This window comes from Homo sapiens, chromosome 9 (genome assembly GCF_000001405.40).
Source record: "Homo sapiens chromosome 9, GRCh38.p14 Primary Assembly".
Taxonomy (NCBI): Eukaryota; Metazoa; Chordata; class Mammalia; order Primates; family Hominidae; genus Homo; species Homo sapiens.
Window position 1 is genome coordinate 133,999,917 of NC_000009.12, and position 25,159 is coordinate 134,025,075.

Genomic DNA, 25,159 nt, shown 5'->3' on the forward strand with positions numbered 1-25,159 from the left:
CAAAGCAGGAGAGGGAGGCGAGGCCCAGACCAGCTAGGAGGATGAGCCAAGACCCACATGGCCAGCTGTGAGTTATGGGAATGGGTTATGAGTTATGCGATACAAGGGGGAGGCTGGGGAGCCTCCTGAATGTGGTCCTTGGCAGACTCAGCCTGCCGAACTCTGGAAACTTTGGCTCTTACTGAAAGGGAGGCAGCACACCCTGGTGCTAGGAAGACACGGCCAAGGGACACTGGGCTCTAAGCCTGTCCATGCCCTTAATGGCATTCAATGCCACCCTGTCCTGGGCCCCTCCAGCTGTCCTCTAGCCACAGCACCTCCTGAGGCGCAGTAAGGGCACTGCCAAGGAGACATACCCACCCCTACCCTGCTAGACAGCACCCCTGCCAGACCACAGCTCACGTACTCCAACTCTGGGACATTTCTGCCACCCCCAAAGGAGACCCCGTATCCCTTAGCTGCCCTCCTCAACCCTGCCCATCCTCAGCCATGGCAACCACTAAGCTGCTTCCTGTCTCTATGGATTTGCCTGTTCCGGACACTTCATCTAAATGAAATCAGCCAACGTGTGGCCTTTTGTGCCTGACTTCTTCCCTCCAGCATGATGCCAAGTTCCATTCACCATGAACGTGCACCAGGAAGGGCTTCATTCCTTTTTATGGCTGACAAATAATTAATAGTAAGTGGAATCAACTTTAGTAATACACTGTACTTGATCCAGTATATTTGAAATATTATCATTTCAATATGTAATCAATGTACAAATCTATTAGAGAGACATTTGACATTCTTTTTTCTCGCCAAGTTTCAAAATCCAGCATGTGGTTTGCACTGATAGCGGACTTCAGTTTGAACCCTAAATTTTCATCAGACGCATTTGATATGTGTTTAGGTTTCACAGAATTCACAGTTGAAAAAGTAGATTTGCATACCCAAATTGTTTCCCGTAAACTTAGAAGTTTGCCAAAAATGAAATTGAGTATCAATTTTTAAATTAATTAAAATTAGAGGCCGGGCATAGTGGCTCGCACCTGTAATCTCAGCACTTCGGGAGGCCGAGGCAGGAGGATTGCTTGAGGCCAGGAGTTTGAGACCGGCATGGGCAACACAGTGAGACCCCATCTCTACAATTTTTTTTTTTAATTAGCCAAGCATGGTGGCACACACCTGTGGTACCAGCTACTCAGGAGGCTGAGGTGGGAGGATCGCTTGAGCCCGGGAGGTCGAGGCTGCAGCAAGCAATGTTTGCACCACTGCACTTTCACCTGGGAGACAGAGCAAGGCCCTGTCTCAAAAAACAAAAAACAAATTAGATAAAGATTCAGTTCCTCAGTCAGACAAGCCTCATTTCAAGAGCTCAGAAGCCACACATGCCTGGTGGCCACTGATATCTTGAACTTGGACTTGGGTCCACCTGCCTGAAGCCTGGTTCTGCCCCACCAGCATGAGCTTCTGTCTCCTCTCTCATGAGTGGCCATATTGCGATCTGCCCCACCCGTGGCCATAGGGGTTCTGGGAGAGCGGGGATGTAAAGAGTTCCGCGCTGAGGCTGACCCCCCCATATCAATACAAGAATGCAAGGATTGCTACTAAAGAGACTCTTCTCCTCCATCAGCTCAGAACTGGGCCAGCTTTGCCTGTCCCTGGGACACTCAACAATAGCAGGCCTTGGAGACTGCTCAGATGTACACACATACGTGTACGTGTGCATGTGCATATGCTGGGAACTGGGGAGAGAGTGTGGGTGATACTTCCCCAAGGGTTGGCCAAGCCTTTCTGGGCTCTTTTCTCCATCTGACCCCCATCCCCACCTGCAGGAAGAATGACCCCTTTAAATCTGATTGTGCCCCCTGTTGCTCAAAGCCCACCTTTGTGTCTACATAAAACCCTACACACCTATATTTATAGCGGCATTGTTCAAAACAGCCAAAATGCTGAAACAACCCAAAAGTCCAACAAAACAAAACACGGGGCTGGATGCAGTGGCTCTCACCTGTAATTCCAACACTTTGGGAGGCTGAAGCAGGTGGACCACCTGAGGTCAGGAGTTCGAGACCAGCCTGGCCAGCATGGTAAAACCCCATCTCTACTAAAAATACACACAAAAAAAACCCAATGATAACTAGCCAGGTGTGGTGGCAGGCACCTGTAATCCTAGCTACTTGGGAGGCTAAGGCAGAAGAATTGCTTGAACCTGGGAGGCGGAGGTTGCAGTGAGCCGAGATCGTGCCATTGCACTCCAGCCTGGGCAACAAGAGCGAAATGAAAACAAAAACAAAAAACACAGATAAACATATGGTGGAATATTACTCAGCCTTAAAAAGGAATGAAGTTTTCTGATCCATGCTACAACATGGATGCAGCTCGAAATTTTATGTTCAGTGAAAGAAGCCAGACACAAAGGCTACAGGCTACACGTTGTATGATTCCATTTCTATGAAATGTCCAGAACAGGCAAATCCAGAGAAACAGAAAGTAGATTGCGAGGTGCCAGGAGGTGGGGAGGGGGAGTGACTGCTCATGGGTACAGGGGTTTGGGGAGGGATGAAAATGTTATAAAATTGATGGTGGCGATGGCTGCACAACTCTGTGAATATACCAAGAACCGCTGAATTGTGCACTGAATTGTGGGTGGATTGTACAGCATGCAACTTCTATTTCAATAAAGCTGTTTGTTATATTTCAAAACAAAACAACAGTCTTGGGTCCCCCACCCTCTGAGCACATCCAGCCTCCTAAGCATGATTCTCAAGGCCCTCTGCACCCCTCACAGCCCTCTCAGTCTAATTTATGCCACTCTCCAGACCCACCCCAAATCCTACAATACTCATGCTCTTGAAATTCTCTCCACACCAAGCTGTGTCTGGCTTTGTCCAGCAGTGGGCCCATGGGAGGTTGGTCCCCCAGGAAATGTGTATGTCTCCTAAAACCCAGCTCAGCCATCGCTTCCCTCAGGGACCATCTCCTGGCCTCCCCAGTGCCCTCTGTACCTTGCTTAGAGGTCCTGCAATGTCTGCCTGGGTGTGGGGTGGGCTCCTGGGGGCTTGGCCTGGGGGCTTGGCCTGGGGGCTTGGCCTGTGGGCTTACCTCCTTTTTGTCCTCCCAGCACCCAGAACAGGGTCTAGCATGTCTCTGGGCAACAGAGGCTGCCACCGTGGCCCCTTGCCTCCTGGGGAGGTCTCAGGGGTCCCAGAGGGTGCTGTGTTGTTTCTGAGCACAACTGATGAGAGTTAGACACCAGCATGAGTTCATTCTCCCATCCATCCACCCATCCATCCACCCACCCATCCACCCACCCATCCACCCATCCATCCACCCATCCACCCACCAACGCACCCATCCACCCATCCACCCATCCACCCATCCCTCCATCCATCCATCCATCCACCCATCCACCCATCCACCCATCCACCATTCCATCCTCCCACCCATCCATCCACTCAGCCCTCCATCTATCCATCCACCCTCTACCCATCCACTCATCCATCCATCCATCATTCATCCACCCATTTATCCACCCATCTACCCATCCACCCATGTGTCTATCCACCTACCCAACCATCCATCCACCATTCATCTGTACATGTATCCAGCCATCCATCCATCCATCCATCCGTACATTTATCCATCCATCCATCCATCCATCCATCCATCCATCTGTACATTTATCCATCCATCCATCAATCCATCCATCCATCCACCCTGTGCAAGGCCTGGGGAGATGCAGAGCCAGTCTAGGATTGTCACAGTGTCAGGAGGGAGGTGTCAGATGTGTCTGAGAAACAGAGGCTGCTGCCCTGGCCTCTTGTCTGCTAGGGAGGTCCCAGGGGTCCTAGAGGGTGCTGTGTTGTTTCTGAGCAGAGTTAGACACCTGCAGATGCCCTGAGCCCCCTCCCATCCCACCACACACCCCAAGCTTCATGTTGATGCTGTGTGGCAACTGTGCTGAACCTATCAGAGGTCTCCAAGGCAAGTGTTCTCCCAGGGTCACCAGGCTCATCCTGGCTCCAAAGAAGTGGGTTTTGCTGCTAGGGCCATGGTGAATTTCTTGGCTCCATCCCGTGGGAGAATGTGAAGGTCTGATTGCAGCTTCTGTGGGGCCCACGGGTGGGCTCAGGCTGGAGATGTTGATCTCAGACCCCAGTGGTGACTGTGGCACATCCAGGATGGGAGAGGCCGGTAGGAATGGCCTCCTGAGACTGGGAACCCCTTGAGAAGAACCCCAAGGTCTGGCCTCCCCAGCCTCTCACACATGCTCGGGGCTGTCTGTAGGAGAGCCAGGGGCTTCCCCAAGTAGGGGCTCCACCCAGTCACTCTGAGGCCCTGGGCAGGCGAGTCAAAACTCTGGCCTCTGGCCTCTGTGTGAAATGGGCACAGCAGGTACCCAGGGCGCTGAGATGGCCGCATGCCCAGCGCTGAGGACAGCTGACCCTCCCCTGGCTCAGGGCCCATGCAGTCTCCTCCAGGGTCCTAGCTCAGAGCTCCATGCTCGCCTGCCGTGACGCTAGGAAGTCCCTCCCATAGCCATCTTCACTTCCCTGAATGGTCCAAGCTCCCATGGGCTTACTCGGCAGAGGGTGGACCCGCTTCTCTCAAACACCAGTGGGGCCACCCAGGGTCCCAGCGCCCCACGACAAAAAGGGCAGGCAGTGGGGAAGTGGATGCTCAGCCCCCGCAGGTCACGTGCAGCCTGGACAGCTCCCCTCTGTGTCTGTCACCGGGAACCTTTGGCCCAGAGTGTGGCCCAGCTGGCCTGGCTCCTCCCAGGCCCTGGCTGCCTCAGATGTGAGCCTGGAGGTGGCCACTCTGAGGCCCCTGCTCACACCCTCGCCACTGCCACCCGGACATGGGGCCATCCCACGGTGACAGGCACGTGCACCAGCACAGGTGTGTCCTCCTGTGGAACATTTAACTTGAGCTGCACCAGGCACTGCGTTATTATTTCTCCTCCCCCAGCCCACGGCTTCCCTTCTCTGTCCCTCCAGGGCCAAATCGCAGATCACGGTCCTCATGATCTGTCTGCCTTGGCAGCCCGGGGTGTCATGAACCCGGCCAGCTCTGCGCCCAGGTGCTGATCACTGATGTTCTCATTGCGTTTGCAACAGGCCTTTGTCAATGGCCGCCATCCCCACATACCCATGCCCAGCTGTGTCCCCAGCCCTCCTGCTACCACGGCCCGAAAGGGTCAAGCAGTGCTGCCAGCCGTGCCCCAGGAGGGACCTGCTGGCTTCCTGGCCCTGCCGCCTCTTCTCCAGGTGAAATGGACCCTGCTATGCCCCAGTAGCCAGTGGCGTCCTGCCCCCTCCCCTCCCCTCCGCTCCCACCACTTGGTGCCTGGAGGAGCCCAAGGACGCTAACCCCTGCATGCTATTATGGGCTGGCTCACCTTAAGGAACCCCATTGCTGAGGGCAGGTGGGCACGGAGAGTCCCTAGCACAAGGGAGCAATCGCTAAAACCTCCCCCAGTGGTGAGCTGGGATGAGACGCCCATGGGAGGGAACATACTGGTGGGTGCGATGCCTCAGACTTTTGAGCGGCTGGGGGCTCATCGTTAGATGGGTGGCCATGGATGGCTGTTGCAGGGAGGCCTGAATGCGCTGAGGAAAGCCAGCGAGCAGCTGAGGGCCATTGATCACCCTTTCCAGTGAGGCAGGAAAGCCAGAGGACCTCTTTGGCAGCTTCTCTAAAGAGGCTTTCAGCTCTGGTGGCTGTCGGGGAGAAAAAGCTGAGATCTGGCCCAGCCCAAGCTGAGGAGCTCCAGAGAAGGGCAGATTCACAAGCTTAGCAAGTATTTTTGGTCAACAGCAGGACCCTGACTGGGACCCAGTGTGGCCACAGACTCAGGTCGGGGACACCTAGGGCAACACACCCGAAAGTCATACTCCTTGTGACCCCTCTGAAACCTCTGGGCCTGGCCCGGTGTAGTGGCTCATGCCTGTAATCCCAGCACTTTAGAGAGCCAAGACAGGCGGATCACCTGAGGTCAGGAGTTCGAGACCAGCCTGGCCAACATGGTGAAACCCCGTCTCTACTAAAAATGCAAAAAAATAGTCAGGCTGTAATCCCAGCTACTTGGGAAGCTGAGGCAGGAGAATCACTGGAACCTGGAGGCAGAAGCTGCATGAGCCAAGATCGCACCACTGCACTCTAGCTTAGGCAACAGAGTGAGACTCTGTCTCAAAAAAAAGAAAAGAAAAAAGAAACCTCTGGGCCTGTTAGAGGCTGGTATGGGCCCCTTCCTGGATGCGCTGCCACAGGTCAGCTTCAGTCAGACGGCACCTTGGGCTATTGGTCTGTTCTTTGAACTAAAATTTAGGAATCTTAGCTTTTCTTTTTCTTTTCTTTTTTTTTTTTTTTTTGAGACGGAGTCTCGCTCTGTTGCCCAAGCTGGAGTGCAGTAGCATGATCTCGGCTCATTGCAACCTCCGCCTCCCGGGTTCAAGCGATTCTCCTGCCTCAGCCTCCCGAGTAGCTGGGATTACAGGCACCCATCACCACACCTGGCTAATTTTTGTATTTTTAGTATAGATGGGGTTTCACCATGTTGGCCAGGCTGGCCTCGATCTCCCGACCTTGTGATCCGTGCACCTCGGCCTCCCAAAGTGCTGGGATTACAGGCATGAGCCACCACGCCCGGCCTCTTTTTTTTTTTTTTTTTTTTTTTTTTAAGACAGGCACTCACTCTGTTGCTCAGGCTGGAGTGCAGTGGCATGATCACAACTCACTGCAGCCTTGACCTCCTGGGCTCAAGTGATCCTCCTACCTCAGCCTCCCTAGTAGCTGGGACTACCGGCACACACAGCTATTTTTTTCGGTTTTGTTTTCAGTTTTGGTTTTTGGTTTTTGTAAAGATAGGGTTTTGCCATGTTCCCAGGCTGGTCTTGAAGTTCTGGGCTCAAGCCATATGCTCACCGTAGCTTCCCAAAATGCTGGGATTACAGGCATGAGCCACGGCACCTGGCCTTATTCTCATTCTTGAAGAGCTATTTTAAACGTATCCCACACCATAGACATAGCCATTGAATTCTTTTGGGGGCACCACCCCGAAACCCCAGAGACTTTCACTGGGCTCCTCCTCCCAGGGACGCCCAGGGGACAACCCTTTGTCCCGTTCCCTAAGACAAGCAGTATCTTCATTGCTTTTTGCCACAGCCTGGCCAGATAGCCAATCCCAGATTCTCCCCATTTTTTTCTGCACCAATTTCTGCATTAGGGTTTACACTGGGTTGAATGGTGGGCTCCCAAAAGATACATCCACATCACATCCCTGACACCTGTTCGTGTGACCTTGTTTGGAAAAAGGGTCCTTGCAGATGTAATTAACTACGGATATCATCCCAGATTATCTGAGCAGTCCCTAAATGCAATGATGTGGCCTTGTTGGAGATAAACAGAGGAGAGACAGACGGAAGAGGGGGATGCTCAGTGACCACAGAGGCAGAGACTGGAGTGATGCCAAGGAAGGCCAAACATTGCTGGCAGCCTCCCAAAGCCAGGAGAGAGGCACGGAACAAAATGCCCCCAGAGCCTCTGGAGTGGGGGAGCCCTGCCGACCTCTTAGTTCCAGACTTCTGACTGCCAGAACGAGAGAATAAATATGTCATTGGAAGTCACCAAGTTTGTGAAATTTGTTACAGTAGCCCCAGGAAGCCAATACGGAGCTCTCACCTGTAAGTCAGAGAATCCAACACCCCACGAACGGATCAGGAAAGAATATCAGTAGCTCACAGTATCTCTAGGAAGCTCACAAGCCCAGGCTTGGAAATGGGCAGGAGCCGTGCAGTGCAGAGAGCAACAAGGAACACAAGCTAGTCCAGGAGAAGCCCCTGCAAGCGTCCCAAGGCCAAGACAGCCAGATGGAGGCCACCATCCAGCCACGCGGTGTTGCTGTTGCCACATACTACTCCTTAGAAAGGACTCACTAAGGGGCCAGGTGCAGGGGTGCACACCTGTTACCCAAGCACTTTGGGAGGCTGAAGCAGGAGGCTCACTCGAGCCCAGGAGGTTGAGGCTGCAGTGAGCTGTGATCGCACCACTGCACTCCAGTCTGGGTGACAGAACGAGACCCTGTCCCCTAAAAAAGAAAAGAAAAAAAGAAAAGAGTCACTCAGAATAGCACACATTCAAGGGGAGAAGGCTTAGGCTGCAATTTTATTTATTTATTTATTTATTTATTTATTTAGACAGTGTCTCGCTCTGTCGCCCAGGCTGGAGTGTAGTGGCGCAATCTTGGCTCACTGCAACCTCTGCCTCCCGGGTTCAAGCAATTCTCCTGCCTCAGCCTCCTGAGTAGCTGGGACTACAGGCGTTCGCCACCACATCCGGCTAATTTTTGTAATTTTAGTAGAGGCGGGGTTTCACCGTGTTGACCAGGCTGGTCTCAAACTCCTGACCTCAGTGATCCACCCGCCTTGACCTCCCAAGCCACCGCACCCAGCCTGTTTTTTGTTTGTTTGTTTGTTTTGAGATAAGGTCTCACTCTGTCCCCCAGGCTGGAGTACGGTGGTGTCATCATAGCTCCCTGAAGCCTTGACCCCCCAGGCCTTGCCCTCCAGGTGGTCCTCCTGCCTCAGCCTCTTGAGTAGCCAGGACTACAGGTGTGCAATACTGCCCTTGGCTTATGCTGCAATTTTGATGAGAGAAGTGTCAAGGCATTTGACATGTTTAAATCCAAAGCAGTCCATCCTCTAGCCATGAATTACTTATATTCCTTGCACATGCAGAATACACCCACCCCTCCCTGCAAAGCCACGTCTGTCCTGGCCTCCTGCTCTTGTGATATAATTAGGTCCAGGTGCAAATGAGAGGCCTCAGGTGCAGCTTACCTGTTACAGTTCCTCTCCAATGTGGACGGAAGACTAAGAGGCCGATTGTCTGCCCCACACCCAATGACTGCACACCCAGTGGACACAGGACAAGCTGCTGTAGACCCTCCAGTTCGAAGAGCGGCAACACAGTCTTTGGGGAGCACATAGCAGCCCCAAGTCCATCATTTCTCAAAGCCAGTGGGGCACTTTGCCACTTCCTTCGTGGAGCCCCCAGGAATGATTCCTCATGGTTCTTGGCACAAATTCTTTTTCCTTCCTGTAACTGCGACATGGTGTCCCGCACAACATGGCGTCTGTGTTGGGTGTCAAATGGTATTGGAGGGCTGTGTTGTGTTTGTTGTTGAGCCTAACTTCATTCCTGCCTTAGAAGCTTGGGGGCAAAAGGTCTCTTTTCATTCTGTACCTTCTCTGTCCCATCGGGGCCAAGCTAGCTGTGTTGATCCTAGTCCAATTCTCTTAAAATCTTTGTAGGAAGTGGGGTATGTGACTGGGATAAATGAAAAAGCCACCAAGTTCACCGTTCCTAATGAACATCAGCCGTTCTCTTTGAATCACTCTTCCTTCGGTGGCTGCAAGCTGCCTGTGAATTTCCTGAGCTGCAAAACAATTTTACTGTGATGATTTTTGCAGATTTTTTCATTTGCCTTTATGAAGGGGCAGAATTGGGAGTTCCTTGCTCCACAATTTTTGCTGATATCCTTGAGCAAGTCAGGATTAACTTTTTAAAAACTGCTTTATTGGCTGGGCGCGCAGTGGCTCATGCCTGTAATCCCAGCACTTTGGGAGGCCGAGGTGGGTGGGTCACGGGAGGTCAGGAGTTCAAGACCAGCCTGGCCAACATGGTGAAACCCAATCTCTACTAAAAATACAAAAATTTGCTGGGCGTGCTGGCACACACCTGTAATCCCAGCTACTCAGGAGGCTGAGGCAGGGGAATTGCTTGAACCTGGGAGGTGAAGGCTGCAGTGAGCTGATATTGCACCATTGCACTCCAACCTGGGCAACAAAGGCGAAACTCAAAACAAAAAAAAAAAACCCCAAAAACTGCGTTATTGAGATATAATTCACATACCATAAGATTCCTTTATTTAAAGTGTATAATTCAAAGCTTCCTAGTATATTCACAGACCTGTGCAACCATCACCCAACTGAAGTTTAGAAAATTTTCATCTCTCTAAAAGAAACCCCGTTCCTATTAGCCATGACTCTCCAGCCCACCCCACCCAACCCCAGCCTCTGGCAACCGCAAATCCACTGGCTGTCTCTCCGAATGTGCCTGCTCCAGACAGTTCACAGAAAGGGAGTCATATAATCCGTGTACTTTGTGTACACTGTTCTCAGGTTTACCGCCATGTTCCAGCCCTTCACTTCTTCCTAATCCCTGGATAGTATTGCATACATGCATCCACACTGACTCCTGAGCAGTTGTGAATGTCTGGCTGGATGGTTAGGATGGTTAAGGACTTGGAAATGAATGGATTGGGAGCAAGGTGTCTGGGAGTTCTGGGACCAAGTACCAGATGGACAGCTGTGGGGATAGCTGTGCCGGGCGGGTGTCTCTGAGGTCTGTTCGCTTCAGAGGGGCTCTCGGTGCTCAGATCTCCACAGCTGCCCCCTCTGCAGGCATCATCAGCCTCTTTTCCCAGCTCTCCCGTGCATGTTTGATGGGCTCCAAGTGTGGAGTGGGGGAAGGGTGGAGGCTGGGCATGGACGGCAGCATGGACCTCCCCCTCCAGAGCTGACCTGTGCACTGCCACTGCTGGGCACCTGACCTGCTGATTAAAAAAAAAAAAAAAGAACCTGGCCCTGAGCTCCCAGTAGGACACCATCACCTGGGGAAGCAGCCAGCCAAGTGGCAGCAGGTTGATGCCATTGGACTTCGTTCCCCATGGAGGAGAAGGGGGCTCGGCCTCATTGGAATAGACACGGTTGCTTTTCCTGCACACAGTCCTTCTGCCAGCCCTGTCATCCATGCCAAGATGCTTTGCCAGCTGCCATGGTGTCCCGCACAACATGGCTTCCAAGCAAGAAACTCACTCCTGAGCAAAAGAAGTTACCGGACTGACTACAGGCCCCTTTCCCGAAGTGCCGCCTGATAAAAGGAATGGACAGGCCACGTGGTTAGCGTGCTGTTACCAAGTGAGGACAGTGACGGCACCTCTGGAAAAACGCCATCATGGAAGTTCGAGGGCCTCATCTGCAGATTAAAGTGTATGCTTTGAACCAGAGACAAACAGATCACGCTGTCTTCCCAGCAGCTGGACGACATGTGTCCAGGAACCAGGGCTCAGAAGGGCAGTGGCTCCTGTGACTGGTACTTCTGATAAGCCTTTAACTTGGCAGCCTGCCCACCCACAGTGGCGGGCTCTGATGGCTCAGAAGTCTTGGTTCTCAAGCAAGGAATGTTTCGACCAAGGAATTCAATGATGGTTCCTCTGATTTGGAAAATGAGACTACCACTTGGCAATTTGGTGTCCTCATTCCACTGCATCAAAACACCGAGAAGCAGGGCCAGGCACGGTGGCTCACGCCTATAATCCCAACACTTTGGGAGGCCAAGGCAGGAAGATTGCTTGAGTCAAGGAGTTCGAGACCAGCCTGGGCAACATGGAAAAACCCTGTATCTACAAAAACAAAATTAAATACAAAATTAGCTGGGCATGGTGGCGCATGCCTGCAGTCCCAGCTACTAGGGAGGCTGAGGCAGGAGGATCGTCTGAACCCAGGAGGTGGAAGCTGCAGTGAGTCATGATTGAACCACTGTACTCCAGCCTGGGCATCAAAGCAAGACCCTGTCTCAAAAACAAAACAAAACCAAGAAGCACGTGACTTTACCAGCTGGGATGATTGATGCCTAATGCCAAGTAGAAAGTGAGTCATGGCTCTACACTGAGGCTCAGTGTATGTGGGAGCCCAGGGGATTTTCTGAGGTGCGTTTTAGTATTTCTACCCAACAGTAGAGGCTAATAGAAAGCTATAGCAACATGAACATAAACATATAAAGGGCAGGGTAATCTCGGGTTCATGCCCCTGGGGAGCGAAAGCATAAGTCAGCCTGCTGGCTAAAGAACCCCAAGCAGATGAGATGCTGCTGGCTGGTGGAGGAACCCTGGAAATGCCCACTGCGGGATACACTGTGGCCTCGGGACTGTGATACACCGCGGCCTCCGGACAGCGAAACACCGCGGCCCCGGGACTGCGAAACACCGCGGCCCCGGGACTGCGATACACCGCGGCCCCGGGACTGCGAAACACCGCGGCCCCGGGACTGCGATACACCGCGGCCCCGGGACTGCGAAACACCGCGGCCCCGGGACTGCGATACACCGCGGCCCCGGGACTGCGAAACACCGCGGCCCCGGGACTGCGATACACCGCGGCCCCGGGACTGCGAAACACCGCGGCCCCGGGACTGCGAAACACCGCGGCCCCGGGACTGCGATACACCGCGGCCCCGGGACTGCGATACACCGCGGCCCCGGGACTGCGATACACCGCGGCCCCGGGACTGCGATACACCGCGGCCCCGGGACTGCGATACACCGCGGCCCCGGGACTGCGATACACCGCGGCCCCGGGACTGTGAAACACCGCGGCCCCGGGACTGTGAAACACCGCGGCCCCGGGACTGTGAAACACCGCGGCCTCGGGACTGTGATACACCGCGGCCTCGGGACTGTGAAACACCGAGGCCTCGGGACTGTGATACACCGCGGCCTCGGGACTGTGATACACCGCGGCCTCGGGACAGTGAAACACCGCGGCCTCGGGACTGCGATACACCGCGGCCTCGGGACTGCGATACACCGCGGCCTCGGGACTGCGAAACACCGCGGCCTCGCGACTGCGATACACCGCGGCCCCGGGACTGCGATACACCGCGGCCCCGCGACTGCGATACACCGCGGCCCCGCGACTGCGATACACCGCGGCCCCGCGACTGCGATACACCGCGGCCCCGGGACTGCGATACACCGCGGCCCCGGGACTGCGATACACCGCGGCCCCGGGACTGCGATACACCGCGGCCCCGGGACTGCGAAACACCGCGGCCCCGGGACTGCGATACACCGCGGCCCCGGGACTGCGATACACCGCGGCCCCGGGACTGCGATACACCGCGGCCCCGGGACTGCGAAACACCGCGGCCCCGGGACTGCGATACACCGCGGCCCCGGGACTGCGAAACACCGCGGCCCCGGGACTGCGATACACCGCGGCCCCGGGACTGCGATACACCGCGGCCCCGGGACTGCGATACACCGCGGCCCCGGGACTGCGATACACCGCGGCCCCGGGACTGCGATACACCGCGGCCCCGGGACTGCGATACACCGCGGCCCCGGGACTGCGATACACCGCGGCCCCGGGACTGCGAAACACCGCGGCCCCGGGACTGCGATACACCGCGGCCCCGGGACTGCGAAACACCGCGGCCCCGGGACTGCGATACACCGCGGCCCCGGGACTGCGAAACACCGCGGCCCCGGGACTGCGATACACCGCGGCCCCGGGACTGTGAAACACCGCGGCCCCGGGACTGTGATACACCGCGGCCCCGGGACTGTGAAACACCGCGGCCCCGGGACTGTGATACACCGCGGCCCCGGGACTGTGAAACACCGCGGCCCCGGGACTGTGATACACCGCGGCCCCGGGACTGTGATACACCGCGGCCCCGGGACTGTGAAACACCGCGGCCCCGGGACTGTGATACACCGCGGCCCCGGGACTGTGAAACACCGCGGCCCCGGGACTGTGAAACACCGAGGCCTCGGGACTGTGATACACTGCGGCCTCGGGACTGTGATACACTGCGGCCTCGGGACAGTGAAACACTGCGGCCTCGGGACTGCGATACACTGCGGCCTCGGGACTGCGATACACTGCGGCCTCGGGACTGCGAAACACCGCGGCCTCGGGACTGCGATACACCGCGGCCCCGGGACTGCGAAACACCGCGGCCCCGGGACTGCGAAACACCGCGGCCCCGGGACTGTGATACACCGCGGCCCCGGGACTGTGATACACCGCGGCCCCGGGACTGTGAAACACCGCGGCCCCGGGACTGTGAAACACCGCGGCCCCGGGACTGTGAAACACCGCGGCCCCGGGACTGTGAAACACCGCGGCCCCGGGACTGTGATACACCGCGGCCCCGGGACTGTGATACACCGCGGCCCCGGGACTGTGATACACCGCGGCCCCGGGACTGTGAAACACCGCGGCCCCGGGACTGTGAAACACCGAGGCCTCGGGACTGTGATACACTGCGGCCTCGGGACTGTGATACACTGCGGCCTCGGGACAGTGAAACACTGCGGCCTCGGGACTGCGATACACTGCGGCCTCGGGACTGCGATACACTGCGGCCTCGGGACAGTGAAACACTGCGGCCTCGGGACTGTGAAACACTGCGGCCTCGGGACTGCGATACACTGCGGCCTCGGGACTGCGATACACTGCGGCCTCGGGACTGCGAAACACTGCGGCCTCGGGACTGCGATACACTGCGGCCTCGGGACTGCGAAACACTGCGGCCTCGGGACTGCGATACACTGCGGCCTCGGGACTGCGAAACACTGCGGCCTCGGGACTGCGATACACTGCGGCCTCGGGACTGTGAAACACTGCGGCCTCGGGACTGTGAAACACTGCGGCCTCGGGACTGTGATACACTGCGGCCTCGGGACTGTGAAACACTGCGGCCTCGGGACTGTGATACACTGCGGCCTCGGGACTGTGATACACTGCGGCCTCGGGACTGTGAAACACTGCGGCCTCGGGACTGTGATACACTGCGGCCTCGGGACTGTGATACACTGTGGCCTCGGGACTGTGATACACTGCGGCCTCGGGACTGTGAAACACTGCGGCCTCGGGACTGGTTGCAGGAACAAGGCTTGTATCAACTCCGTAGATTCCCTTGCCTATTAAGTATGTGTATGTTTGTATCTAGCTATTCCTTTTTTTTTTTCAATTAAGATGGCGGTCTTACTCCCCTCCCCCAAGCTGGAGTGCAGTGGCGCGATCATGGATCACTGCAGCCTCAAACTCCCAGGCTCAATGATCCTCCCACCTCAGCCTCCCAAATAGCTGGGACCACAGGTGTGTGCCACAACACCTGGCTAATTTTGGTTTTTGGTAGAGATGGCACCATGTTGCCCAAGCTGGTCTCAACCTCCTGGATTCAGGTGATGCCCACGTCTTGGCCTCCCAAAGTGCTGGGATTACAGGCCTGAGCCACTGCGCCCAGCCAAAACCTATTCTTAAATTAAGAAAGTTTTTTTCCTTAAGATATCAGGACATCAGGGCATTTCCAGAAGTACTGGGTCTGTTTAGTTAGTAAGCATCATTAACTTGCTCCCTCAACCATAAGAGTGCTTCACCTCCTGGGAATGTGACCCAGCAGGTCTCACTATATTTTTCTCTCATTCAAGATGGAGTCACTCTGGTTTGGACACTTCTGGCAGCTTCATGGGTCCCTCCTCTAAGCATCTAGGTTTTCATCATTCCAACCTCTTCCCTTTGTTCCTTATCCCTAGGGGTGGTGGTAGTTGCTTCCTGCAGGTGCTACTTTAGGATATTTTAGAGTTATTTTTTTTCTTCTGAACTTAACAACTTTGTACTTAGCGAACAATTCCTTGTATTTATTTCTCCCAGTTCAAATGATTGGTGTGGTTTCTCTCTTCCAAACAGACTCTGACTAATATAAGTTCCATATCAATCATATGTATTGCAAATTTCTTCTCACGTTCTGTGGCTTTCCTTTTCACTCTTAAAAGGTATATTTTAATAAGCTTTAAAAATTTTAGAAGAGTTTGTTTTACAGAAAAATTGCAAACATGGTACGGCGTCCATATAAGCCCAATACCAATTTTCTCTATTGTTGATGTCTTACTTTCGTGTGGTCTGTGACAATTAATGAACCAATATTGATACATTATTATTAATTCAAGTGCATACTTTAGTCAGATGTCTATAGTTGGTATCTTTTTTAAATTTAAATAGTGAGGTTTCCATTCATAAAATTTCTCCATTTAAAGTTTTTGTGCCAGCCGGGCACGGTGGCTCATGCCTGTAATCCCAGCACTTTGGGAGGCTGAGGTGGGCGGATCACCTGAGGTTGGGAGTTTGAGACCAGCCTGACCAACGTGGAGAAACCCCGTCTCTACTAAAAATCCAAAATTAGCCGGGCATGGTGGCACATGCCTGTAATCCCAGCTACTCAGGCGGCTGACGCAGGAGAATCACTTGAACCTGGGAGGCGGAGGTTGCAGTGAGCCGAGATCGCACCATTGCACTCCAGCCTGGGCAACAAGAGCAAAACTCTGTCTCAAAAAAATAATAATAGTAAAATAAAATAAAGTATTTGTGAAGTCCTGAATATTCCTAGGTATTTTTTAATTTTTCATTTGTGGGGGTACATAGTAGATACATATACTTATGGGGTATATGAGATGTTTTGACGCAGGCAATGTGGAATAACCACATCGTGGAGAATGGGGCATCCATCCCCATTTCCAGGTATTTGATATATTTTGAAATTATTGTAAATGGTATCTTTTTTTTTTTTGAGACAGAATTTCACTCTTGTTGCCCAGGCTGGAGTGCAATGGTGCAATCTCGGCTCACTGCAACCTCCACCTCCTGGGTTGAAGCGATTCTCCTGCCTCAGCCTCCCAACCAGCAGCGATTACAGGCATGCACCACCATGCCCAGCTAACTTTTTATATTTAGTAGAAACAGGGTTTCACCATGTTGGTCAGGCTGGTCTCAAACTGCCGACCTCAGGTGATCTGCCTGCCTTGGCCTCCCAAAGTACTGGGATTACAGGCGTGAGCCACCACGCCTGGCCTGTAAATGGTATCTTTTAAACACTTGTTTTCTGCTTTTTGCTGTCATTTAGAACAGTAGTTGACTCTGTAGATTAATTTTCCATCAAGCAACCTTGTGTCAACCTTGTTGATGGAAAAAAAAAAAGCTGTGAAATATTTAAAGAAGTTTATTCTGAGCCAATGAGTGACCATGGTCCAGAAAACAGTCTCAAGAGGTCTGGAGAAAGTGCAGTCGAGGTGGTTGGGTTACAGTTTGGTTTTATACATTTTAGAGAGACAGGATATATAGGTAAAATTATAAATCAATACATGGAAGTTTACATTGGTTCAGCCTAAAGAGGTGGGAGGTCTTGAAGCTGAGGGGGGCTTACAGATCATAAGCAGATTCAAAGAATTTCTGATTGACAACTGGTTGAAAGAGTTAAGCTTTGTCTAAAGACTTGAAGTCAGTAGAAAGAAATGCTTGAGTTGGCTGGGTGTGGTGGCTCAAGTCTATAATCCCAGCACTTTGTGAGGTGGAGGTGGGCGATCACCTGAGGTCAGGAGTTCGAGACCAGCCTTGCCAACATGGTGAAACCCCATCTCTACTAAAAATACAAAAATATGCTGGGCATGGTGGCACACGCCTGTGATCCCAGCTACTTGGGAGGCTGAGGCAGGACAATAGCTTGAACCCGGGAGGCAGAGGTTGCAGTGAGCCGAAATCACGCTACTGCACTCCAGCCTGAGCAACAGAGTGAAACTCTATCTCAAAAAAAAAAAAAAAAAAAAAATGCTTGAGTTAAGATAAGGGGATTATGGACACCGAGGTTCTTATTATGTAGATGAAGCCTCCAAGTAGCAGCCTTAGAGATAATAGAGGGTGAATGTCTCTTCTCAGACCCTAAAGGTGTTAGACCAAGCTTGTCCAACCTGTGGTCCATGGGTCACAAGAGGCCCAGCACAGCTTTGAATGTGGCCCAACACAAATTCACAAATTTTCTTAAAATATAATGAGATTTTTTTGTGATTTTTTTTAAGCTCATCAGCTATTGTTAGTGTTAGTGTATTTTATGCATGGCCCAAGATAATTCTTCTTCTTCCAACGTGGCCTAGGGATTCCACAAGATAGGACCCCCCTGGCCGGGCGTGGTGGCTCACGCCTGCAATCCCAGCACTTTGGGAGGCCGAGGCGGGCAGATCACAAAGTCAGGAGATCGAGACCATCCTGGCTAACACAGTGAAACCCCGTCTCTACTAAAAATACAAAAAATTAGCCGGGCATGGTGGTGGGCGCCTGCAGTCCCAGCTACTTGGGAGGCTGAGGCAGGAGAATGGCGTGAACCCAGGAGGCAGAGTTTGCAGTGAGCAGAGATCACGTCACTGCACTCCAGCCTGGGCGACAGAGACTCTGTCTCAAAAAAAAAAAAAAAAAAAAGATCAGACCCACCTGTATTAGACTCTCATTTAATTTCTCCTAAATCCGGGAAACGCCTAGAAAGGAAAGGCCAGGCTCCTAATAGAGATTCTTTACAGATGCAAATTTCCCCCACAGAAGACGGCTTTGCAGGGCCATTCCAAAATATGTCAAAGAAATGTATTTGGGGGCTGGGCACGGTGGCTCATGTCTGTAACCCCAGCACTTTGGGAGGCCGAAGCCAGTGGATCACCTGAAGTCAGGAGTTCGAGATCAGCCTGACCAATATGGTGAAACCCCGTCTGTACTAAAAATACAAAAATTAGCTGGGCGTGGTGGCGGGCGCCTGTAATCCCAGCTACTCAGGAGGCTGAGGCAGGGGAACTGCTTGAACCTGGTGGTGGAGATTGCAGTGAGCCAAGATCGTGGCACTGCACTCCAGCCTGGGCGACAGAGCGAGACTCCATCTCAAAAAAATAAAGAAATATATTTTGAGGTAAAATATTTTCCTTTCCTTCAGGGTCTGCTATCTGTCATGTGGTGCTATACAAGGGTCTGGTTGGAATTTGGTATCTTGTTGCCATAAAGAGTCTGTTTTGGCAGGGCGCGGGGGCTCACGCCTGTAATCCCAGTACTTTGGGAGGCCAAGGCAGGTGGATCACGAGGTCAAGAGATCGAGACCATCCTGGCCAACATGTTGAAACCCCATCTCTAGTAAAAATACAAAAATTATCTGGGCATGGTGGCGCACGCCTGTAGTCCCAGCTACTCGGGAGGCTGAGGCAGAAGAATCGCTTGAACCCAGGAGGCAGAGGTTGCAGTGAGCTGAGATCACGCCACTGCACTCCAGCCTGGCAACAGAGACTCTGTCTCAAAAAAAAAAAAAAAGTCTGTTTTGTCAGTCTCACGACCTCTATTTTAATGATGCTGGCCAGTGGTGCCTAAACTCCAAAAGGGAGAGGGGAGAACGAGACATGTCCAGCCTCCCTTCTTGTCATGGCCAGGAATGCTGTTTTTCAGGTTTCTCTGGGGTCCCCTTAGCCAAGAAGGGGTCTGTTCAGTCCACCAGGGGCTTAGGATTTTTATTTATTTATTTATTTTTTTAAAGCTTTTTTTTTTTTTTTTTTTTGAGACGGAGTTTCACTCGTCTCCCAGGCTGGAGTGCAATGGTGTGATCTCGGCTCATTGCAACCTCCACCTCCCGGGTTCAAGCAATTCTCCTGTCCCAGCCTCCCAAGTAGCTGGGATTACAGGTGCCCGCCACCACACCCAGCTAATTTTTGTATTTTTAGTAGAGACAGGGTTTCATCATATTGGTCAGGCTGGTCTCAAACTCCTGACCTCAGGTGACCTGCCCACCTTGGCCTCCCAAAGTACTGAGATTACAGGCGTGAGCCACCGTGCCTGGCCCTTAAAACTTTTTTGAGATAGGGTCTCACTCTGTCGCCAAGGCTGGAGTACAGTGGTGCAACCACAGCTCACTGCAGCCTTGACCTCTCGGGCTCAAGCATTGCTCCCACTTTAGCCTCCCAAGTAACTGGGACTTCAGGTACACACCATCATGCCTGGCTAATTTTTTGTATTTTTATTTAAAAAGGGGTTTTACCATGCTGCCCAGGCTGATCTTGAACTCCTGGGCTCAAGCAATCCACCCGCCTTGGCCTCCCAAAATGTTGGGATTACAGGCATGAGCCAACATGGCTGGCCAGGATTTTATTTTTGGTTTGCAACCTAAAAGGAAGAAGCTGAGGAAAAATTAATGTAAGTAGAGAGTTTATTTGGGCCAAGCTTGAGGGCTGCAACCCGGAGCATGCAAGTTGCCCTGAACATCCACTCCAGTTAGTAGCGGTTACTAGAGGATTTTTAAAGGAAAAGAAGGGGAGTTCCTGAATTGTTTACCAAAAATTTACATTAAAATAACAAGCTATTGATTGGCTATCCATTGTTTTTTATACACATATTCCAGGAACATGAAGACAATGGGTGGGGCAGCTAGACAGGAACAAAAAGACTTTTTTTTTTCCTTTGAGACGCAGTCTGTCTCTGTTGCCCAGGCTGGAGTGCAGTGGCGCAATCTCAGCTCACTGCAACCTCCGCCTCCCGGGCTCAAGCGATTCTCCTGCCTCAGCCTCCCCAGTAGCTGGGATTACAGGCACCCACCACTACGCCTGGTTAATTCTTTGTATTTTTAGTAGAGACAGGGTTTCACTATGTTGGCCAGGCTGGTCTCCAACTCCTGACCTCGTGATCCACCCGCCTCAGCCTCCCAAAGTGCTAGGATTACAGGTGTGAGCCACCTCGCCCAGCCCTGTCTTATTAATTTTAATAATTTGTCTGAGATTCTCCTGAATTTGTACTGTTAATTGAAAAAAGAACCCCACAATATCCATAAATACTCTGTTGCCCAGGCTGGAGTACAGTGATGCAATCATGACTCGCTGCGACCGCTGCCTCCTGGGCTCAAGCAACCCTCCTGCCTCAGCCTCCCAGGTAGCTGGGACTATAGGTGCCTTTCACCATGCCCAGGTACTTTTTGTAGAAATGGGGTTTTGCCATGTTGGCCAGGCTGGTCTTGAACTCCTGAGTTTAAGTGATCTGCCCGCCTTGGCCTCCCAAATTGCTGGGACTACAGGTGTGAGCCACTGCGCCTGGGTGACTTTCTTTCTCATAAAGGGTTACAGCCAGCAAGGTGGCCATCCCACAGGCTGGAAAATGTGCCTCTGAAGGAGGAGGGGTTGGGGCAGGAGCTCCATGCTGAACAGGTTGGCTAAACATACACATTCAACAGGTTATAGGAGGAGCTATGAATATTCATGAAGGTCCTGACAACATGCATACTGAACAAACATGCATGTAACATACAACTCATGTTCACCTTGGGGTGGAGACTTAGCATCAAAATGTACTAAAATTAGGCCTTATAGGCTGGGTGCAGTGGCTCGCGCCTGTAATCCCAGCACTTTGGGAGGCTGAGGTCTGGCCAATACGGTGAAACCCAGTCTCTACTAAAAATAAAAAAAAAACTAGCTGGGCACCGTGGTGCACACCTGTAGTCTTAGCTACTTGGGAGGCTGAGGCAGGAGAATCACTTGAACCCAGGAGGCGGAGGTTGCAGTGAGCCGAGATGGCACCACAGCACTCCAGCCTGGGCAATAGTGGGAGACTCCGTCTCAAATAAATAAAAATATATACATACATAAAATAAAATTAGGCCTTATAGTAAAAAGGTCTTTCCAGGACACAAAAGCACACAAGTATGCAGCCTCTCTGAACCAGCCGGAACCAATCCATAGTCAGTGGTCTTACCTGGAGAAAGTTGCTGAAATCAGTCTCTTGTTCAATGAAAGCTGTAGTTGGCTGGGCATAGTGGCTCACACCTGTAGTCCCAGCACTTTGGGAGGCCACGATGGGAGGATTGTTTAAGCCCAGGAATTTGAGATCAGCCTAGGCAACATGGCAAAACCCCATCTCTACCAAAAATACAAAAAGTAGCTGGGTGCAAACTCCACCTCCCGGGTGGACCTACTGGTACACCTAGTGGTGCACACCTGTAGGCCCAGCTACTTGGGAGGCTGAGGTGGGAGGATTGCTTGAGGCTGGGAGGTTGAAGCTGCACTCAGCCAGGATTGCACCACTGCACTCTAGCCTGGAGGACAGAGTGAGACGCTGTTTCAAAAGAAGAGAAAGCTAGTTATGGTGGGTGAATGGGGTCAGTTAGCATCTGGAGCTGGATGAGCTGCAAATCGTTTTAACATTGTTTATCTTGAGGTCAGTACTTACTTAGCTGCTAGAGAAAAGGAACAACCTCGTGGCAGTGAGAATAGAGTTTATTCTTTAATTGTAGAGGTGTAGGACTTAACTTGTGCCTGGCATGGCCCTAAATCTTATTAATTAATTAATTTATTTATTTTTGGAATCAGAGTCTCACTTTGTCACCCAGACTGGAGTGCAGTTGTGCCATCTTGGCTCACTGCAACCTCCACCTCCTGGGTTCAAGTGGTTTTCCTGCCTCAGCCTCCCAAGTAGCTGGGATTACAGGCATGCGCCACTATGTCCAGCTAATTTTTGTATTTTTTGTAGAGATGGGGGTTCACCATGTTGGCCAGGCTGGTCTCGAACTCTCAGCCTCAAGTGATCTGCCCGCCTTGGACTCTCAAAGTGCTGGGATTACAGATGTGAGTCACCATGCCCAGCCACAGGTCTTATTTATAATTTGGTATGTTATCGCCATAAAGAGTCTGTTTTTCAGTCTTCTATGTTTTCAGTCTTACATATTTTAACGCAAATGCTAGTGCCTTGTCTCTAAGTCACCAAAGGGAGGAGTTATAACGACATGAGTGGGCTCTCCTATCCCATCGTGGCTGGGAACTCAGTTTTAAGTTTTTTCTGAGGTCCCCTTGGCCAAGAGGGGATCCGTTCAGTCAGTGAGGAGTTTAGGATTTTATTTTTAGTTTATATTCCCTTCTTTTGGCCAAGATTTGCCAGAGATGGCATTGATGACCAAACTTTTATTTTGTCCTATATCGTTGCTGGGGCTGTGTGCTACCTGCACTGGGTCCATCTTGTCCCTTGGTGGGATCCCTATGGCCAAGAGACTTAGAGCCAAAAGACTGAAAGACAGCTAATTAAATGTTTTAGGACAGATAGGAAAGGAGATGGGCAGGCACTCATTCACCCTTAAAAACCTTTTGTGCAGCCAGGTGCGGTGGCTTATGCCTGTAATCCTAGCACTTTGGGAGTCTGAGGCGGGTGGATCACGAGGTCAGGAGTTTGAGACCAGCCTGATCAACATAGTGAAACCCTGTCTCCACTAAAAATACAAAATGAGCCAGGCATGGTGGCACATGCCTGTAACCCTAGCTACTCGGGAGGCTGAGGCAGGAGAATCACTTGAACCTGGGAGGCGGAGGTTGCAGTGAGCTGAGATTGCACCATTGTACTCCGGTCTGGGCGACAGAGCGAGATTCCATCTCAAAAAAATCAAAATAAAACAAACAACAACAACAACAAAAAACAACCTTTTGTGCAACATAAGAGGCAAAAACCAAAATCCAAAACGTGAGGTTACAAAATTGACTTATCTCTAAGTTTTATGTATTGAGCTATCAGCTATTTAGGTATTTGTGAACCATCTTTGATTCAGAGGGTCTGAACAAATTTTATCCCTCGAAACCAGCCCTTACAATCTCATGCGTTTACCTCTTCTGCAATTGTCCCTGGGCCTAGAGGGAGGGTGTTTGATATCAAATCAGATTGGAGCCAATGGGATTTTAAATCATTTTCAGATTCTGGAGATATCAGGTAGAAAAAGAGAGGTAATCTTCATTTTTTACTTAATTGTTGTAGCTATAAAATAGCTTAAAAGGAAAAACAGCTTTTTGACTCTGGAAAACAAAACATAAGTAAATGTTTCGAACAGAAATATAAGTCCTATTTGGTTTTGACAACGACAGGAAAAGGAAGCTTACAGGTAACTAAATATTCAAATTATTTAGTTCAAGGCATAGAACAAATTATATTAGCTTAGAGGCAATTTTTTTTTTTTTTTTTTGAGATGGGGTCTCACTCTGTCACCCAAGCTGGAGTGCAATGGTGCAATCTCAGCTCACTGCAACCTCCGCCTCCTGGGTTCAAGAGATTCTCCTGCCTCAGCCTCCTGAGTAGCTGGGATTACAGGCGCCTGCCACCACACTGGGCTAATTTTTTATATTTTTGGTAGAGACAGGGTTTCATCATGTTGGCTAGGCTGGTCTCGAACTCCTGACCTCAAGTGATGTGACCGCCTAGGCCTCCCAAAGTGCTGGGATTACAGGCGTGAAAACCGCACCCAGCCAGATAGAGGTAAAAGTGTTAAATGGGTCTTTGAATACAGGCCTGTTCTTGTGTCTCTTGAAAGCAGTATAACTTCGGTTGCTGTCTTTTCCCAGGTCGGAAGACTGGGAGATCATGTAAGATTTAAACGTTTTCAAATTTGTTGAAACTGATTTATGGTCCAGCATGTGATCAGTTTTGCTAAACGTCCTGTGTAGGTACTTGTGAAGAAAGTGCGAGGCAGGCGGATCACAAGGTCAGGAGTTCGAGACCAGCCTGGCCAATATGGTGAAACCCTGTCTCTACTAAAAATACAAAAATTAGCTGGGCGTGGTTGCCGGCGCCTGTAGTCCCAGCTACTCAGGAGGCTGAGGCAGGAGAATCGCTTGAACCTGGGGGGCGGAGGTTGCAGTGAGCTGAGATCGTGCCACCACACTCCACCCTGGGTGACAGAGTGAGATTCCCTTTCAAAAAAAAAAAAAAAAAGAATGTGCGTTCCACAGCTGTGGGCTTAGTGCTCACACTAAGCATCTTCCTTGGATGTCTGTTATGCTTATTTTCTTTTTTTTTAGAGATGGGGTTTTGCTGTTTCGTCCCAGCTGAAGTGCAGTGGCATGATTATGGCTCACTGCAGCCTCGAACTCCTGGCTCAAGGGATCCTCCTGCCTCAGCCTCCCAAGTAGGTGGGACTCAGAGGTGAGCCACCACACCAGGTTCCATTATGCTAGTTTTCTTAATTGGCATTGGAGAAAACCATAAAATTAGGGGAAAAGGGTAGATACTAAAAGAGTGCTATTGGAGTATGATTGGAGGTGGAGTGAGAAAAGGAAATAGACCTTGCTTTCATGGGGCTGTTGAGGAGTCCAAATGAGCAGTATAGAGGCCTGGCTTGGTTGGATGAGATGGAGAAATTCAAGACCTATTTTTGAGATAGTAAGCCCGGACATTTAATTAATTAAAAATAATTGTATCAATTACTGAGAGTAAGAATACTAATAAAAGCAGTAACAGCAGTGGCAAAAGTAACCACACAAGCAGAAATACGAAAACCAAGATGATAAGACCATACAGTCCGGCAGTGTCTTACTAACAGGGTTGTGGGCGTCCCACTCCTTCTCTTCATCCTCCTCCAGCTCCTCCTCCACGTCTTCCTCCAGCTCCTGCTCCTCTTTCTTTTCCAGTACCTCCTCAGCCCCTTCTCCTCTGCCAGCCCCTCCTCCCACCTCCGCTCCCAGCCCCTCCTCCTTTCCCAGCCCCTCACCATCCAGCCCCTCCTCCTCCATCTC

General features: G+C 51.6%; 1 annotated feature.

The window, feature by feature from the left end:
- Positions 24,999 to 25,128: a silencer, noted in NCBI's record as "silent region_20472". NCBI's record gives its function as "represses an Ori minimal core promoter by ATAC-STARR-seq in GM12878 lymphoblastoid cells {active_cell/tissue: GM12878}" and the evidence as "EXISTENCE:reporter gene assay evidence [ECO:0000049][PMID:35858748]".